Consider the following 16,738-nt stretch of genomic DNA (forward strand, 5'->3'; position numbering starts at 1 on the left):
ATGGTGGTTGGGAGTACGTGTGAGGAGGGAGTTATTGTTTAATAGGTACAGAGTTTCAGTTTTGCAAGATGAAAAAGTTCTGGAGATTGTTTGCACAACACTGTGAACATACTAAACACTCCTGAACTGTACACTTAAAATGGTTAAGATGGTAAGTGTTACGCAAATTTTACCACAATTTAAAAAAATTTTAAATTGATGCATTGTGTGTCTGCTTGTGCATATACAGGAATTTCTGGAGAGTCTATTAATGGTACTTGGGTTTTTATTGTATTCCTGTTTCACTGTTTTTATCATTTGTGAGCTGTCAATTTTTAAAAACTTAAAATTGTTCAATAAATTATGATGAGCTTGTTAAACATCTGTAACAGCGCCCTTTGCTTGCTGTGTGACCTGGTGCCAAAAGTGTAGAAGAAGCACAGTAAATGCTGTGATTTCCTGGGAGGACATGAATATGTGGTGGCAAAGAGTGGCCAGTGAGAACAGAAAGATGAGTACATTTTTTCTAAGCACAGAGGGCAATCCAGCTGAAGAAGGTAGGGGAAGTTCTATCCAATTTCAGAGATGTTAACATGTGAGGAAAAGACCATCCATGGTACACTTGGATGACTGTGCAGACCAGTCTCACGAGGATCCTGCAGAGGGGTGCCGGGGATGGCCTTGACAGGTAGGTTGGGGCCATATTGTGGTGGGACTTAAATGAACAATCAGGACATTTAGATTTTGTTCTGATGATAATGTGGAGCTTTGGAACATTTTGAGCAGGAGAGTGTCAGGAGGTAGGAAAATTAACCAGGCATGTTAGATTGAATGGCAGTTAGACTGGGGAGGAAAGGCAGGGAAGAAGTCAATACACTGTAATCCAGAAGCAGGGTGATGAGGTTAAGCTCCACAATAGGAAATGGAAAGTTTGGTTGATTCTAGAAATTTCTAAAGAAAGAATGAACAGATAATTACGTATGAAGGGCGAGGAAGGGAAAGAGTCAACAGTGACCGTGGTTTCAGACCAGGACAGTTATACCTACGAGAGAATTACATCTCAGGCAGAGAAAGGGAATTGTTGAAAGAAAGCTAAATTTTGCAAGAAAGGAAATGAACTCCCTTTCACCTGTCAAGTTTGAAGCAACAATGAGCCATTCAAGCCGATGTCACCAATATCTAATAGAAAAAACTCAGCAAATTTCAAAAAAGAGACAAAAGCATACACACAGTGCTATACTCATCCGCACCTGCAGCTCAAGAAGATTCAATGTGGAGCAATTTTAGACAAATGGATTAAAATCAATCCCCAAAACTCTACTTTCTCAGGAAAGTCACCAGGTTTCTAAAGAAGGCATCATGAGATTTAGGCATGGGTTTTTCTATTTCATTTTTCATCTATTCTGAAATATTCTACATCACTTCTTTTTTTACATCCGAAATTGATTTACGTCACACAATTGATGATTGATGTCTACAATTAATGAAATATAATGTTGGGAGGATTTAAGGAATTCTCCAACAAAGGCTGATTGCCTTGGTCACATGTACGCTTTCAGTATGGGGTGTGTGTGTGTGTGTGTGTGTGTTGGGGGAGTGGGGTGGCAGGACTAATGATTTCCGGCCATAGCACCTTCACCTAAGACCAAGAGAGGCAAATGAACTGGAGGGTTCCATGTGACCAAAGAAGACCAGAAAATGCTCAGGGACCTATGGACATAAACACAATTATTTCCAAGAAAAAAGATGAGCCATAACTCTTGTCTGACAAGTGTGATGGAGAGCAGACTTGCTTAGAAGGACATTCCCAGGAGGAGGCAGCTTATACATTTCGGGCTAGCTTTGATCTCTAGCCTCTAGGAACAATTTTCTTGCTTTGTCATTATGGTTCCAAACATTGGTCCTTTTGGGGAAACTACTCCAGCTCAACAAGCAAATGTCATCAGGTTTGTTTTTGTTTTTATTTCTTTCCCTAGTACAGGAAAGAAGTCCAGAATATGCCACTATAGCATAAGGATTATTTTGAGCTAAAGGCATTTGAGAATCAGTGGATGCAGGAAGAGTTGTTTTATTTTATTTTAATTTTTTCCCTGAACTTACTTGCCTCTCAAAAGAATTCAACTGTCTTAAATTCCTTCCCAGCAATTTCAAAACCAGGGAAGATTGACCCTATCTTTAGAAACAGGAAGTTGGTACTGGGATAATAAATCACCTAATAGACTTTGTCACAAAACTATCATATCTCCCATCTATTCTCCCAAAGGCCTGTTTATCTTTTCTGAAAGTTTTTTCCCAGAAGTGCCCTTTCTCCTTCTCCCTTTCCTTTATTTAGACAGTATATAAGCCCCAAATTCTAATTGCTCCTTGAGTCATAATTTTCTGTGAACTCTGACTGCTTCAGTGAATAAAAATCTATCTTTTCTCCTGCTAAGCTGTGTTTTGTTGGTTTAATTTGCAATCCCCCGAATACTGAACCTAAGAGGGTAGAGTGAAAGTTTTACCTCCCTGGCAACAGGAAAACTTATTTTGTTAAAGATGAATGGCATAGAAGGGGGAAATGATGGTTGGAGTGAGGACCAAAGAAATAACAAAAATGTCCACTTGTACTGAGACAAGTTTTTCCTAAATATTTATTAGTTAGTCCTCAAATATTTTGCTTAAGAGAAGTCCTCAAAATGAAAGAAACTACGTCTTCAATGTACTGAGCAGAAGGAAAGGAGACTGTGCAGCTGAGGAAGCCAGGCCTGAAAAATAAGTGTGGGTTGTGTCACCACACACCAAGGACTGGTGAGAGGAACAATGCACAGTGGTGGAGTGGGAACTGAGCAGGCCATGAGAAGGACAGATATTTGTTTTGCTGCATTCAAGGCCACCTATAGTTCCTGCCCTTTGGGTGCTCATGATGGCAGACAAGCCCTCATGAAGGTGAACCAAAGGAAGGTAATCACAGGGGACCCGTTGGCCCCACCACGCCTGAACAGCTGCTGCAGCCTGAACTTTCTGCCTCACTCCTGCTTTCCTTTCTCCCCATGCATGCTTGCTTGTTGCACTGAACTCTGGCGCATCACTCATTCCTGTTCTTTTTGTCAGGAGAAAAAGTTCTCCTGACATGCAGTGTGTCAAAACTGTACTCATCTCCTCCACCTGCCTTCCCACTTCCCGCCCCTATGCTCCCTCCTGGCTTCTATTTTAAATTTCATTGCAGCAGACACCTCTCTCCAGATTTCATGCCTCAGCAAGGGCACATACCATTCCTCCAGCGAAACCATTCTTTTCCTTTTCACCATTTCATCCTTTTGACTTTCAAACTTCTCACCAACTGGGTGCGTTTTATCCTCCTCTGGTGCCAGCCTTCCTTCTTTGTTAGATACCTAGCATTTACAGCCATCTCTAGGCAGATGTGTGGTCGTTCAGTAAGAAGAGAACACATGTTTTGTGTGCTCACTCCAATGGGTGTCTGGCTTATAAAGTAGGTGTGGTCCAATTCCTGTCTGCTGCCACCATTGTGCCCTGCTCTGGCCAACAGCTCAGAGAGGTTTGCTCTCTCCACTGGCCCTGAAGACCTCCCATGTTCCCCCAGTTCAAACTTCACCTCTCTCATGAGGCTTTCCCTCACTGCATCCTCTACCTCTCTCATGAGGCTTTCCCTCACTGCATCCTCTACTCTCTCATGAGGCTTTCCCTCACTGCATCCTCTACCTCTCTCATGAGGCTTTCCCTCACTGCATCCTGTACCCTCACAGCCCTTAACACACCACTCAACAAATACGCATTTGCATCTAACCAAATGTGACCCTGTGTCCATATTTATGTTTCTGTATATTAATGCATTCTTGTTTCCCCTGCCAGGCTCCATTAGTCTGGTTAGCTTTTGCCCAGGTATCAGGAAATGAGGGGATGGGGAGAGGCTCAGAATCCAAACTTGACAGAGTAGCTGTCCACCACTAGGTGATGGTGGGGTCAGGCATCTCCTTAGGCTGGCTGTGCTTCTGTTTTCTTTTCAATGGAGATACCGGCTTTCTTGGAAACACATGTGATGGTGGGCTAGCCGTAGAAGCACTACTATAATAACGATGTGATCTTTGTCATTTCACTTCTTCAGACCTCATTAGTCCTACATATAAAAAGAGGAAGTTAAACTAGCTCAAATGTACTGAGCAGAAGGAATGGAGACTGTGCAGCTGAGGGAGCGGGGCCTGAAAAATAAGTGTGGGTTGTGTCGCCACACACCGGGACTCCTGGGATCCCGACCTCTTTTAGCGGTCAAAAGAGGGCAAACTAGTTGCCTAACAATATTTAGAGCTATTTCTCTCTTTTCACTCTCATTCTACGAGTGTACACCGGAGTTTCTAGCAACTACATGGTATGTGAAGTCATCCCTCTAATGATAACCTGTAATGAGGTTACTACTGTGATTTTTAATGAATACATTTTAAAATGTTTTAATTTCTTCAAAAGCAAACATTAATCTCTACATATGTGTGTATACATATACAGGAAATGTATGTATATATGAATATACATATATTCATTGTATATGTGTATATATATTCATACATAATATGTGTGTGTGTATATATATATATATTTACACATTTCCTACATAAATAAAAGTTCTTTAAGGTCCTAATAATTTTTAAGTGAAAAGGAGTCCTGGGACCAAAAAGTTTTGAGAATCACTGAACCAGATTTCTAGATCTTTAAGATCATTTATTCACTCAACAAATAATTGTGCCTCCTGTGGCCAGGCATTTTGCAGATACGGAGGATAATGTGGTGATAGCAACATGTTTCCTGCTCTGATAGAGTTTTACATTTGGGAGGGAAGAGACAAACGAATAAATTAACAAGATAATTTCTGAGAGCAGTAGGTTTAATGAAGCCGTAAAGCAGGACACATATCCCTGCACAATCTGTGCGCCTGCTCAGACGTAACACCCCGCAGCGCAGCAGGCAGATTCAGCGGCGTCGCCCCATAAGGGCCCGAGCCCTCTCAGTTGGCCTAGGACGGCGAGGGCGGGGCCTGCCCGCCCCCCTGGCGCTGGCGTCAGGTGACGTCACTGTGCCGCGCCAGCCAATCGTGGGCAGCCGGGGTCTAGGCACCACGGTGGCTGGCGGCCTGCGGGCGGCGCTGTGGCCCGTCGGGCGGCTCCACAGAGCCGCCCTAGCCTTCCGCCTTCCCCAAGCCAACGTCTCCGCCGTCGGCTCCGCGGCGCCGCCATGGCCGACGTGGAAGACGGAGAGGAAACCTGCGCCCTGGCCTCTCACTCCGGGAGCTCAGGCTCCAAGTCGGGAGGCGACAAGATGTTCTCCCTCAAGAAGTGGAACGCGGTGGCCATGTGGAGCTGGGACGTGGAGTGCGATACGTGCGCCATCTGCAGGGTCCAGGTGATGGGTAAGCGCTGCACGCGAGTCCAGGGCCGCCCTGCGGCCTCCGGGAGCCGACCTCGGGGTTGGGAAGGGACGGGCGTCCGTCAGAAGCCTCGGAAAGTGCCCTGCCTGGGAGAGTGGGTGGAGGTCGCCCTGCCCCGGCGCCGGAGGAACGCGGAGCCACGCTCCTGCTGCGGCTCCTGAGGGCTGCGGCCGCCGCCTGGGGCTGCGGGGTTGTGCAACAGGCGCCCTGCGCCGGGTGGTTGGTGTTCTAGGGAGAGAGACGGGCAATAAACGGAGTTAAACAAGGTAATTTCAGGTAGTGATGGGTGTGACCAAGAAAGTAAAACCGGGTGATTGTTGGGAACTAGCAGGAAACACTTCGGTTTGTGTGTCCAGCCCCAGCCCCACCTCTAAAAGCTCAACACAAGGTGGTCAGGGTAAAGGCCGTGATTCAGCAGTGAACTTTAATAGTCTTGGTCACCACCAAAGTGATGCTCCAGAGTCATCTTCCACAAAACGACACCCTTAGTTCTCCTCGAGGGACGCAGGAAAGTGTTCATAGCCATTGCATTTCCGGATTAGCTTACCGCCGCTCTTCGAATGGCTTTTAAATCTGGATTGATTTAAGACGGGTCAGATAGCACTAGCGTGGCTTGAAGGGAACAGTGTGGTTCAAGAATATCTAAGTTTCATGGAAGCTGAAGAATTGTAAGCCCTTTTTTCAGAAACGTAAAACTTCACCTCCATCACACCCCCCTCTCCATATTGGATGCCATTTCCTGGAGAAGATACTGTGCTGCTCTGAGTCATGCCTTTGTGGAGAACCCTCTTACAAATATGTCTTCTTTCTGTGATATTTTGAGTTAAAATATTAGACCAAGTGAAACTTTTCAGAACAGCTTAATCTTGTTATATTTTATATGGTTCTAAGAACTCAGACCACTTTGAAAAGCAGGTGCTATTTAAATGCAAGTTGTATTTTCAGATAGGGCATTTAAAATTACTATGAGACCCTCTTCAGTGGAATTCTTTATTGAGGGTAGTTAAAGAAAACGGACATTTCTATCGTTTGAAAACTGTGACTTGTCTTGAAAAATGAGAGAATTGGAGAACATACAGAGAATTGCTCACCTTAAGGGGGGTGAGACTGTAAACATACCAGAATCAAGAGATTTCGCAGTTTATGCTCTTTTGTCTTTTATTCCTAAGGGCTTGTTTCAAAGAGGATTTACAACAATTGGATTCAGATATTTTTATCTTTCTCTTTTGAAAGACCTTGATATTAGACATGACCCACTTATTTTACATGGATCACTTGAGCCCAGGAGTTTGAGACCAGCCTAGGCAACATCGCAGGACCCTGTCTGTACAATTAAAAATTAAAATAAAAAGCTGACCAGGCATGGTGGCCTCCAGCTACTCTGGAGGCTGAGGTGGGAGGATCCCTTGAGCCCAGGAGGTCGAGGCTACAGTGAGCCTTGTTCCTGCCACTGCCACTGCCACTATACTCCAGCTTGGGTGACAGAATGAGACCCTGTCTCAGCAACAAACAAACAAAACATATGAGGCTTTAAAAGTATCTAGTTTATTTGCCAGCAATACAGCTGCCCCTACCCCCACTTAGGAATCATAATTTCTAGTTTGGGAAGCATTTTTAACTGATCCAGGAGACTCTTTTTTTTTTTTTTTAAGACAAGTTTCGCTAAACATTTTATCTCCTAAATAAATTTCCTTTAGTTTAAAGGAAACTAAGCTTTCACTTAGTTCCTTTCCAGTTTAAAAATAATGTTCCCAAAGGGTATTTTCAAAAGATTTGTCTCCCAAAAAGCTATTTCCTCCCCAAAGGAAAAACATTTAAAGAGTAAGTGGAAATGTATAACCTGAAATAATGATTGAAACTTTGCAACAAATAAACTTTACTGAGAGATTTTAATGTAGGTCAAAGTATAGACTATAAATGACACATTTCATCATAAACTTTCTAATTATAGCAAGTATTCTGCTACTACAGGATCAGTCTTGCATATTTACAACAGCTGTACTTTGGGTTCAGGAAATTATTCTAGGCTAGACCTTTGTATTTTGTTTATGAGGTGTTAAAACCCACTTAGAGGTCAGGTGACAGCAGAAGGAAATTTTTTTTCCAGACTTCCTAGTCCTTACCCTAGCATCATTCTAAAAGGTGTTATTGTACTCCTTAGAAATGTGCTGTTTTAGATTCTAGGAAGATCATTAAAGCAATTTTTTATCTTTTATCTGAAACTTTAGGAATTTGTGTAGATTTGGGTCAGTTTTGATAATCTACATCAGAGCTATAAGTGTAATTTAGAGATTCCTAAATTCAGCAACAAGAACCCACTTAGTTCCCTTTCCTTAGTATTTGGAATTTGTCTCACACACTTGTGATTTATTATACTTTCTGCTCCCAAGACTTGCCTGTCAGCCCATTCTGATATGGATAACACTCTCTTCGTTTCCACTCTCCTCCCTTCATTCAGAAAGGAGTGATGATTACACAGTGAGCAAGTGCTGATGAAAAGGGGAATAGGTTTGCTAGTACAGCCAGTTATAATAGCCAGAGTAACCCTTCATGACTGTATCACCTTGGATATTTCACATAACTTTTTGGAGCCTTATTTTCCTAATTTGTAAAGAGGCAGTTGGGATCACCAACCTTAATATTAAAATTCTGTGATTGCACAGAACTAGCGCCAGATTCAGGTAGGATGTCTTCACTGTTATATCACAACCCTCATGATATTTAGGTGTTTGTCTACGTCCCCATTTGCTCCTGAGCCCCTTGAGACCCAGCCTTGGTCATTTTGGTGTCCCCAGTGCATAACTCCTTGCACAGAGGAGATAGTAATTGTGGGATTGAAGAAAACCTCAGGAGGCAGTGGTTGTTTTTAATCCACACTGAAGAGACTAGGGCAGTGGTGTTTTTTTAAGGGTAAGAGCATGTGGAAAGGAGCAAACAAATGCCTGAGCAGAATCCAGTGTAAGAAGAGAAGCAGGCTTCAACTTAACCGTGTTTCTATTTTTACAGAATTATTTTTCTCCTATTTATGTTAAAAACTATTTTCTGTTGGTTCAAACTTCCTTTTACCCAACTCTGACTCCTCTTCCAGCTAGTGAATGAGTCCATTTTTGCTCCCTAAAATATTCTATATTACTTTTTTCATTAAGCTGATAGTATTCCAGATTGAATTTTGAAAACTTCTAGTACAGCCTTTAGGATCTCATTTTTAGTATTTACACCTACTCCACTATATTAGAAGTTACTATAAGCTCACTGGGCATGCTCATGGGCAGTTTATTTTCAAGGCACCCTTTTAAATAACCCATACATATAATGTTAGTATTTGTTTATATATACATCAAGAAATTCTAGAAGGATACCCAAGAAACCAGTAATAAAGTAATTTATTAAAAGACTTTACCATTGTTGGGTAAATACTTTGGGCTCAGACTTATCTGTATTTTCTTTCTTTCTTTTTTTTTTTAAAAAAACTTTTAGGTTCAGGGCTACAAGTACAGGGTTGTTACATAGATAAACTTGTGTCACAAGGGTTTGTTGCACAGATTATTTCATCACCCAGGTATTGAGCCTAGTACCCATTAGTTATTTTTCCTGATCCTCTCCACCTTCCACCCTCCAAAAGGCCCCAGTGTGTGTTGTTCCCTGCTATGTGGCCATGTGTTCTCATCATTTAGCTCTCAAGCATTTTCTTTTTTTTTTTTTTTTTTTTTGAGACGGAGTCTCGCTCTTTCGCCCAGGCTGGAGTGCAGTGGCGCTATCTCGGCTCACTGCAAGCTCTGCCTCCTGGGTTCACGCCATTCTCCTGCCTCAGCCTCCCGAGTAGCTGGGACTACAGGCGCCCACCACCACGCCCGGCTAATTTTTTGTATTTTTAGTAGAGACGGGGTTTCACCATGTTAGCCAGGATGGTCTCCATCTCCTGACCTCGTGATCCGCCCGCCTCAGCCTCCCAAAGTGCTGGGATTACAGGCGAGCATTTTCTTACAAAGAAAAAACCTTAGTGTTTAGGGATATCTAGTATTTACTTATTTTATCTGTAAAATTCTCACCAGTTTGTATCATCCCCACTTAATATATAAATACCTCACAGTATTGTCCCTTTTTTACAGATGAGGGAATTGGAGTTCGTAATTGGTCCGAGGCCCTGAACCTAATAAATGCCAGTGAAATGGGATTTGACTGTAGATCTGGCTCCACAGCCCTCGCTGTCCCCTCTGTCTCACTGGCTTCTCACCAGCCTTGTCTGGATGACCATCGGTAGCAACCTATTGGAAGCATACAAAGCAGTTTATTTTAGAGGAACTCTCAAGTGTCTTAGGGTAGAAAGTAAAAAGTTGCTTCTTATGAGTTGCTAAAGGAAGGCTTCTGTGTCAGTAAGTATGGATGACTTTAAAAAACTTGTTTATGAAGCAATTTTTTAATTTAATTTTTTATAAGTTATATATTCATATAGTTCAGAAATTGAGGAAGTTATGTATATTACCTGGAAGAGTGAAAACTCTCCTTCCCATTCCAAACCCTCCCAGTAAACTTTATTATTGGTTCCTTGGGTATCCTAGTGTTTCTTGATGTATGTATAAACAAATGCTAACATATATATATGGTTTATTTAAAGGGTGTCTTGAAAATAAACTGTCCATGAGCATGCCCAGTAAGCGTATGGTAACTTTGAATATAGTGGAGTATGGCATATTTTTCTCTAGTAGTTTTCTCTCTTGGCACCGTCAGGACATCTTTTCATCAGAGCTTATAAAAATAGAGGATTTGTTAACCCTTGTGAAATTGCTCCTGGTTATAATTAGTAGAATGCCTTGTACTTTATTCCTCTTTAAGTAGTTATGTTCAGATGAGAAATTAATAGTATGAGTCTTTATTGCCATCCCTAACCCTTAGGGCTTTTGACTTTGAAGTGTCTGGTTTTTAAAAATTGCATTCTGAGCATCAGAATGAGAATCGCTATTTGTTTACTTTTAGATGCCTGTCTTAGATGTCAAGCTGAAAACAAACAAGAGGACTGTGTTGGTATGTTGTAATTTTGTTCTCTTGCTTTTTCAACTGAAGGTTTTCTCTCAGTAGGGATGTTTGAATTTGAAATTAAGATTGACTTTATCAATACACAAAAATAAACTGTAAAGCAGTGATCCATTGTTAATATAAAATATGTTGGTTCTCAAAAGAGTTTAATGGAATGAACCTGCAAGTCCTTTTATTGCCATAATTAAGAAGAATTGGTTATATATTCCAGACATGGTCATAATAAACATTTTGGTAATCAAAAATTAAATATTTTCTATTAAGAAAATTATAAAATCAGAAATTTGTCAAAACATTATTTGAATTTTGGCTATGTTATAGGTCACTTTTGGTTCTAATAAGGCATTTCACTTTTCAATACTCTTATAATACAGTATTTAACTTTAAAACCAGAGTAGAAAAATTCTAAGTCTCAAGTATATTTTTGGAATGTGGTTTGTGTATCAAATTTTCTTTAGAGTCTTAGACTACAAAAGTTGTCGTAGGCTAAATATTTTAGGCAGTTCAAAGATTTTTATGCCCTAGTTCTTGAGGTGATCAAGTCTAGATTGCTATATAAACATGTTTATAGATTTTCTTAGAATAAAAGATTGGCTTTGTATTTTGTGTTTGCATGGTGTACGTAGAACACAAATACATGGTGTACATAGAACTTCTTAATATTGATTCTTGCAGTTTTGATCCAGTTCTTCCTCCTGAAACGCTTAGAATGTTTCACCCTTGCTTCCTACCCCCTGTAGCCAATTTTCATAGGCATTTTTTTCTTTTTTTCTGCCTTATTTCTTTCATTTAATCTTTTTCTCTGCCTTATTTCTTTCATTTAATCTTTTTCTCTTGTCATATAGCTCAGTTGATCAAGCAAGGGACAGATGAATCCCAAATTCGAGATTGCATTCTAGATTGTGGATGATTTCCCTTGTTTTAAAGTTTTTCTTTCATGCTGCTTGTTTAAAAAGTATTAATTTGGGAATTGTGAGGGGCAGGCCACTTTCTTTGATCACAGAGAGACCTCTCTCTCCAGCCAGCCACTTTGAAAATTTCATCGTCACATGAGGAATTGCACTGCTTATGGGTGACTTAACACAATTCATCACTTCTAGAAAACAGCTCAGCTCAGATGCACAACTGAATGTTTAGAAGCATGTTATTTATAATAGCCTACTGCATACTAAAAACATTTACAACTCATTCTGTCTTGGTAAATAAAAATTGGAAGGACATTTTCCCATAAAATAAAGCCCAGAAGATCTCTAAGGTCAGTGCATGACTGAGAAGGTCAGATCTAAGGAAGGTTCAAGAACATTCATCTAACTTCAAGAAGACAGCATGTGGAGCTGTGTAGGAACTAGGGGTCATCACATCACCCATAGATTCTAGAACAGTGATGGAAAGGCTCTCAAACAGTGACTTATGTCTCTGTGTAACTTACACATTTAAGTTTCTGTTTCTTTATAGATAGAAAAACATTATTTTGGCCAATTAACTATCTTTTTTCAAGATTATTATTTGTAATATAAAATAAGCTATAATTTTGAGTTCAGTGTTTAAATTGAAATATGTAATGTCAACTCTTCTTTTTCTTTCTTTCAGTGGTCTGGGGAGAATGTAATCATTCCTTCCACAACTGCTGCATGTCCCTGTGGGTGAAACAGAACAATCGCTGCCCTCTCTGCCAGCAGGACTGGGTGGTCCAAAGAATCGGCAAATGAGAGTGGTTAGAAGGCTTCTTAGCGCAGTTGTTCAGAGCCCTGGTGGATCTTGTAATCCAGTGCCCTACAAAGGCTAGAACACTACAGGGGATGAATTCTTCAAATAGGAGCCGATGGATCTGTGGTCCTTTGGGACTCATCAAAGCCTTGGTTTAGCATTTTGTCAGTTTTATCTTCAGAAATTCTCTGCGATTAAGAAGATAATTTATTAAAGGTGGTCCTTCCTACCTCTGTGGTGTGTGTCGCGCACACAGCTTAGAAGTGCTATAAAAAAGGAAAGAGCTCCAAATTGAATCACCTTTATAATTTACCCATTTCTATACAACAGGCAGTGGAAGCAGTTTCAGAGAACTTTTTGCATGCTTATGGTTGATCAGTTAAAAAAGAATGTTACAGTAACAAATAAAGTGCAGTTTAAAACCCAACTCTTACTCTTAATTTGTTCCTAATACGTATTTTTGGCAGGGAGAGGGAACGGTCCATGAAATCTTTATGTGATATAAGGATTTTAAGTTTGGGCCAGTGAACAGGGTAAATAAAATTTAACTTTTGAGCATATGGAATTTTGATTGCCTTTAAAGTTACTATTCTGTATCATTGATTCATCAAGAAAACCTAGATCTGCACTCACCTCACTGTTCAATCATTGAGTGGTAAAGGACAGAAGTATTTTCTAGTTCTGGTCAGATGATATAATTTTTTTTTTTTTTTTTTGTGGGGGTGAAGTCTTGCTCTGCCACCCAGGCTGGAGTGCAGTGGCATGATGTCAACTCACTGCAACCTCCGCCTCCCGGGTTCAAGTGATTCTCCTGCCTCAGCCTCCCGAGTAGCTGGGATTACAGGTGTGTGCCACCACACCCGGCTAATTTTTGTATTTTTAGTAGAGACGGGATTTCCCCATGTTGGCCAGGCTGGTCTCAAACTCCTGACCTCAGGTGATTCGCCCACCTCAGCCTCCCAAAGTGCTGGGATTACAGGTGTGGGCCACTGCACCTGGCCCAGATGATATAATTTAACTGTGTTTTAGGTAACATGTTAATGAGGGAAAATGTTTACCAGTGTAGCATTGGATCAAAAAGTTTATCACACAGTGTTTTAATAAATGGTTTATTCTGCTTACCTTATTTGAATTGTCATTATAATTTTATATGCAACCTTAATTTGTCAAGTAAATACTTTCATTTAATTTGAAAGAATTCATATTCATTTGCTCTTTCATTTGACAATAATAAAATTTAAGGTTTATTACCTGGAAAGAGTGCAAGAAAATACTAAACAACTTTATCAAACTGATTCACACTGAGGGGAGGTTATTTTGTAACAAATAATGGACCACAAGTTCATTTTGTATTCTTCTGTAGTAGAGGCTACTGATATGAATTTAAGAAAAAACCTTAGAATCTTAACTTTTCACATCTGCAGATGCAGTGTGCCATTCTGAATTTTTCAATCTAAGGGATGTGGATACATAGAATGTTTAAAAAGATAACAATTAGAATGAAAAATTAAAATTATGTATGCTTTTATATGGGTTACTTTTTATTGATCACATTTCTCTGGAAATTTTTCTTTATATTTTTTCACAGTTGTCTTTCTAGCTACTGAAAAAATTATACAAATATCTTTGGCCATTTAAATGTTTATCATTGTGCAGTGAACTGTTTTAGTAACTTTCTGTTTGACCTTTTTAGAAGGTTGCATCCTTAAAATGTGAACCAGATACATGGCTTTGCATTGAAGAGGAAAGCAGTAGAATGTCAGGTTACTTTAGGCAGTGTGACAGTATATAAATGAAATGTGGAGGATGGTGGTAACAATTTGATTTTCCACACAGCAAAACCACAGTCCCGCCACCTAACAAAGCCCTGTTTATGCCACACACCAGCATCTGAGGGAAGAGGAGGCACTGTGACAAAGCAGCGCTGATGCTGCTCAGCCTGCGATGATTACAGCTCATCTGCACAGCCATCTGAAAGTTTAATACATACTCATCAGAGGGAACATGCCGGGACAATTTTGGGTTCCAATACAAAAGTTAAGCATCAAACAGGTTTTTCTTTCCATTTGATTAAATGTGCTGATTTTATTTTACTGTTGCATTAGAAACAAACAAGTTATCTTTCGCTATTTAATTTTCCCTCTATGCAAATTGTGTTATTACAGCTGACCGCTATCAGTAAATCTTAATTCTGTCAGTCCCATTGCTTCCTTTTTTATAAAAATACTGTGTCCCCCTTTACTGTCATGAAGTGAAATTCATAAATATATTTCCTACACATATAATTTAAATGTATGTAATTGTTATATGACAGAACTAAAAAGAACTTGTAATTCAGTTGTATTTCAATATAGAAATGCTTGGACATGGATGGGCACGTTGGCTCACGCTGTAATCCAAGCACTTTGGGAGGCCAAGGTGGGTGGATTGCCTGAGGTCAGGTGTTCGAGACCAGCCTAGCCAACACGGTGAAGTCCTGTCTCTAACAAAAATTGGCCGGGTGTGGTAGCAGGTGCCTGTAATCCCAGCTACTCGGGAGGCTGAGGCAGTAGAATCGCTTGAACCCACGAGGCAGAGATTGCAGTGAGCCGAGATCGCACCACTGCACTCCAGCCTGGGCAATGAGCGAAACTCTGTCTCAAAAAAAAAAAAAGAAATACGAAAAAGCAGCACTTTGCTGCTTTTTAAGTTATTGCCATGGAGCCAGGCATGGTGGTGCACACACTAGTCTCAGCTACTCTGAAGGCTGAGGCGGGAGGATTGCTTGAGCCTAGAAGTTTGAGGCTGCAGTATACAGATCATGCCTGTAAATAGCCACCACACTTCAACCTGGGCAACATGGCAAGACCCTGTCTCCAAAATAAATAAATAAGTAAAAGTTATTGCCACGGGTAGTTTGGAGTAATGAACGTTTTATGCTCTGCAATGAAAAGGAGAAAATTTCAGTGTTTAGTAAGCCCTTGTTTGTATTTATTGTTTTTTCGAGACAGAGTTTCACTCTTGTTGCCCAGGCTGGAATGCAGTGGCGCAATCTTGGCTCACTGCAACCTCCACCTCCCGGGTTCAAGAGATTCTCCTGCCTCAGCCTCCTGAGTAGCTGGGATTACAGGCATGCACCACCATGCCCAGCTAATTTTTTGTATTTAGTAGAGACAGGGTTTCACCCTATTGGTTAGGCTGGTTTTGAACTCCTGACCTCAGGTAATCCACCTGCCTCAGCCTCCCAAAGTGCTAGAATTACAGGCGTGAGCCATCACACTGGGCCAGCCCTTGTTTTTTAAAAAAGCATTTAAAGAATAAAATATTACTGATTTGGCTATAAGGAAAATTAGAATTAAAGTACAAATATATTTTAAATTTTAATCTATTTTGTATTGAACATTTGAATAGTACAACAAAATACTGAAAAATGTTTGCATGGAAGTTCCTGTTTTCCATCTTTAAGTCATTCCATTTCTGCCATCATTAGGTTTTGTTCAGCAAAATATATCTTACAGGGAAAGTATTTTCTTTGCATTTTAATACTCTCACTTAGTGGCAGTACAGCCAGGATACCTGGATTTGAATCCTAGCTCCACCATTTATTTGTGTGATTTTAGGCAAGTTACTTCACCTCTCCATACCTCAATTTCTTCATGTGCAAGGTAGATAATAATAACAATATAATAATTCTTGGCCAGGCGTGGTGGCTCATGCCTGTAATCCCAGCACTTTGGGAGGCCAAGGCAGGAGGATTGCTTGAGCCCAGGAGTTTGAGACCAGCCTGGGCAACATAGTGAGACCTCGTCTCTACAGAAAATAAAAACAAAATTAGTGGAATGGTGGTGTGCACCTGTAATTCTAGCTACTCAGAAGGCTGAGGTGGGAGGATCGCTTAAGCCCAGGAGGTCAAGGCTGCAGTGAGCCGTGATCACACCACTGTACTCCATCCTGGGTGACAGAGCAAGACCCTGTCTCAAATAATAATACTTACTTCTTTAGTTTTTTGGGGGGATTGAGGACTAACTATATAAATTTAGAACAGTATCTAGCACATGGTTAAGTGCAACTGTTATTGTTTCATTGTAGTCATTTTTAGAAGCATTTTTAATAGAAGTGTTACTTTAAAAATAATGTTTTCAGTTATGAAATAAAACACTCCTATTCTCAATAAAAATTGTACAAGAAAAAGTTAATTGTGAACGTGATTAGATTACTTGTAGCACTGTGAGTTTTTGTGAATAATGGTAGTAAGGCCTCAATAACTTGCCTGTTATGTTTTTCTAATCACTCAACATTATTTTCAGATTTTATTTTTAAATTTTTATTTTATATTTTTTATGACAGGGTCTCTCTCTGTCTCCAAAGTTGGGGTGCAATGGCATGATCACAGCTCACTGCAGCCTCAACTTCCCAGGCTCAAGCAATCCTCCCACCTCAGCCTCCCGAGTAGCTGGGACCACAGTTGCACACTACTACACCCAGCTAATTTTTTATTTTTTTTGTAGAGATGGGGTTTCCCTGTGTTGCCCAGGCTGGAGTTGAACTCCTGAGTCCTCAAGCGATTTTCCCGCCTCGGCCTCCTGAAGTGCTGGGATTACAGGCATGAGCCACCATACCCAGCCA

General features: G+C 40.6%; 1 protein-coding gene across 6 annotated transcripts, besides 8 other annotated features; it reads left to right on the plus strand.

The window, feature by feature from the left end:
- Positions 4,699 to 4,748: an enhancer, noted in NCBI's record as "active region_20634". NCBI's record gives its function as "activates an Ori minimal core promoter by ATAC-STARR-seq in GM12878 lymphoblastoid cells {active_cell/tissue: GM12878}" and the evidence as "EXISTENCE:reporter gene assay evidence [ECO:0000049][PMID:35858748]".
- Positions 4,789 to 4,838: an enhancer, noted in NCBI's record as "active region_20635". NCBI's record gives its function as "activates an Ori minimal core promoter by ATAC-STARR-seq in GM12878 lymphoblastoid cells {active_cell/tissue: GM12878}" and the evidence as "EXISTENCE:reporter gene assay evidence [ECO:0000049][PMID:35858748]".
- Positions 4,929 to 5,188: a silencer, noted in NCBI's record as "silent region_14778". NCBI's record gives its function as "represses an Ori minimal core promoter by ATAC-STARR-seq in GM12878 lymphoblastoid cells {active_cell/tissue: GM12878}" and the evidence as "EXISTENCE:reporter gene assay evidence [ECO:0000049][PMID:35858748]".
- Positions 4,929 to 5,628: a biological region, named in NCBI's record as "NANOG-H3K27ac-H3K4me1 hESC enhancer GRCh37_chr3:141456933-141457612".
- Positions 4,949 to 5,628: an enhancer, noted in NCBI's record as "NANOG-H3K27ac-H3K4me1 hESC enhancer chr3:141456933-141457612 (GRCh37/hg19 assembly coordinates)". NCBI's record gives its function as "activates a minimal SCP1, AML or CMV promoter by ChIP-STARR-seq in naive H9 embryonic stem cells {active_cell/tissue: H9 hESC(naive)}" and the evidence as "EXISTENCE:reporter gene assay evidence [ECO:0000049][PMID:30033119]".
- RNF7 (ring finger protein 7) lies at positions 5,156 to 14,418 on the plus strand. Of its 6 annotated transcripts, none has more exons than NR_037702.2 (4): positions 5,156 to 5,374; positions 9,502 to 9,765; positions 10,367 to 10,414; positions 12,017 to 14,418. NR_037702.2 is itself a non-coding variant. In NM_014245.5 (3 exons), the coding sequence occupies exons 1-3, from the start codon at positions 5,200 to 5,202 to the stop codon at positions 12,133 to 12,135; spliced, it is 342 nt and encodes a 113-aa protein (NP_055060.1). In that variant the 5' UTR covers positions 5,156 to 5,199; the 3' UTR covers positions 12,136 to 14,418. The 6 variants fall into 6 exon arrangements, 3 of the variants coding, with proteins under 3 accessions (NP_055060.1, NP_899060.1, NP_001188299.1); NR_037703.2 differs by having other exon boundaries at positions 5,156 to 5,367; XR_007095770.1 differs by lacking the exon at positions 12,017 to 14,418 and having other exon boundaries at positions 10,367 to 10,415.
- Positions 5,189 to 5,428: an enhancer, noted in NCBI's record as "active region_20636". NCBI's record gives its function as "activates an Ori minimal core promoter by ATAC-STARR-seq in GM12878 lymphoblastoid cells {active_cell/tissue: GM12878}" and the evidence as "EXISTENCE:reporter gene assay evidence [ECO:0000049][PMID:35858748]".
- Positions 5,449 to 5,628: a silencer, noted in NCBI's record as "silent region_14779". NCBI's record gives its function as "represses an Ori minimal core promoter by ATAC-STARR-seq in GM12878 lymphoblastoid cells {active_cell/tissue: GM12878}" and the evidence as "EXISTENCE:reporter gene assay evidence [ECO:0000049][PMID:35858748]".
- Positions 5,629 to 6,307: an enhancer, noted in NCBI's record as "NANOG-H3K27ac-H3K4me1 hESC enhancer chr3:141457613-141458291 (GRCh37/hg19 assembly coordinates)". NCBI's record gives its function as "activates a minimal SCP1, AML or CMV promoter by ChIP-STARR-seq in naive H9 embryonic stem cells {active_cell/tissue: H9 hESC(naive)}" and the evidence as "EXISTENCE:reporter gene assay evidence [ECO:0000049][PMID:30033119]".
- Positions 14,419 to 16,738: the final 2,320 nt, after the last annotated feature.

Source organism: Homo sapiens, chromosome 3, assembly GCF_000001405.40.
Source record: "Homo sapiens chromosome 3, GRCh38.p14 Primary Assembly".
Taxonomy (NCBI): Eukaryota; Metazoa; Chordata; class Mammalia; order Primates; family Hominidae; genus Homo; species Homo sapiens.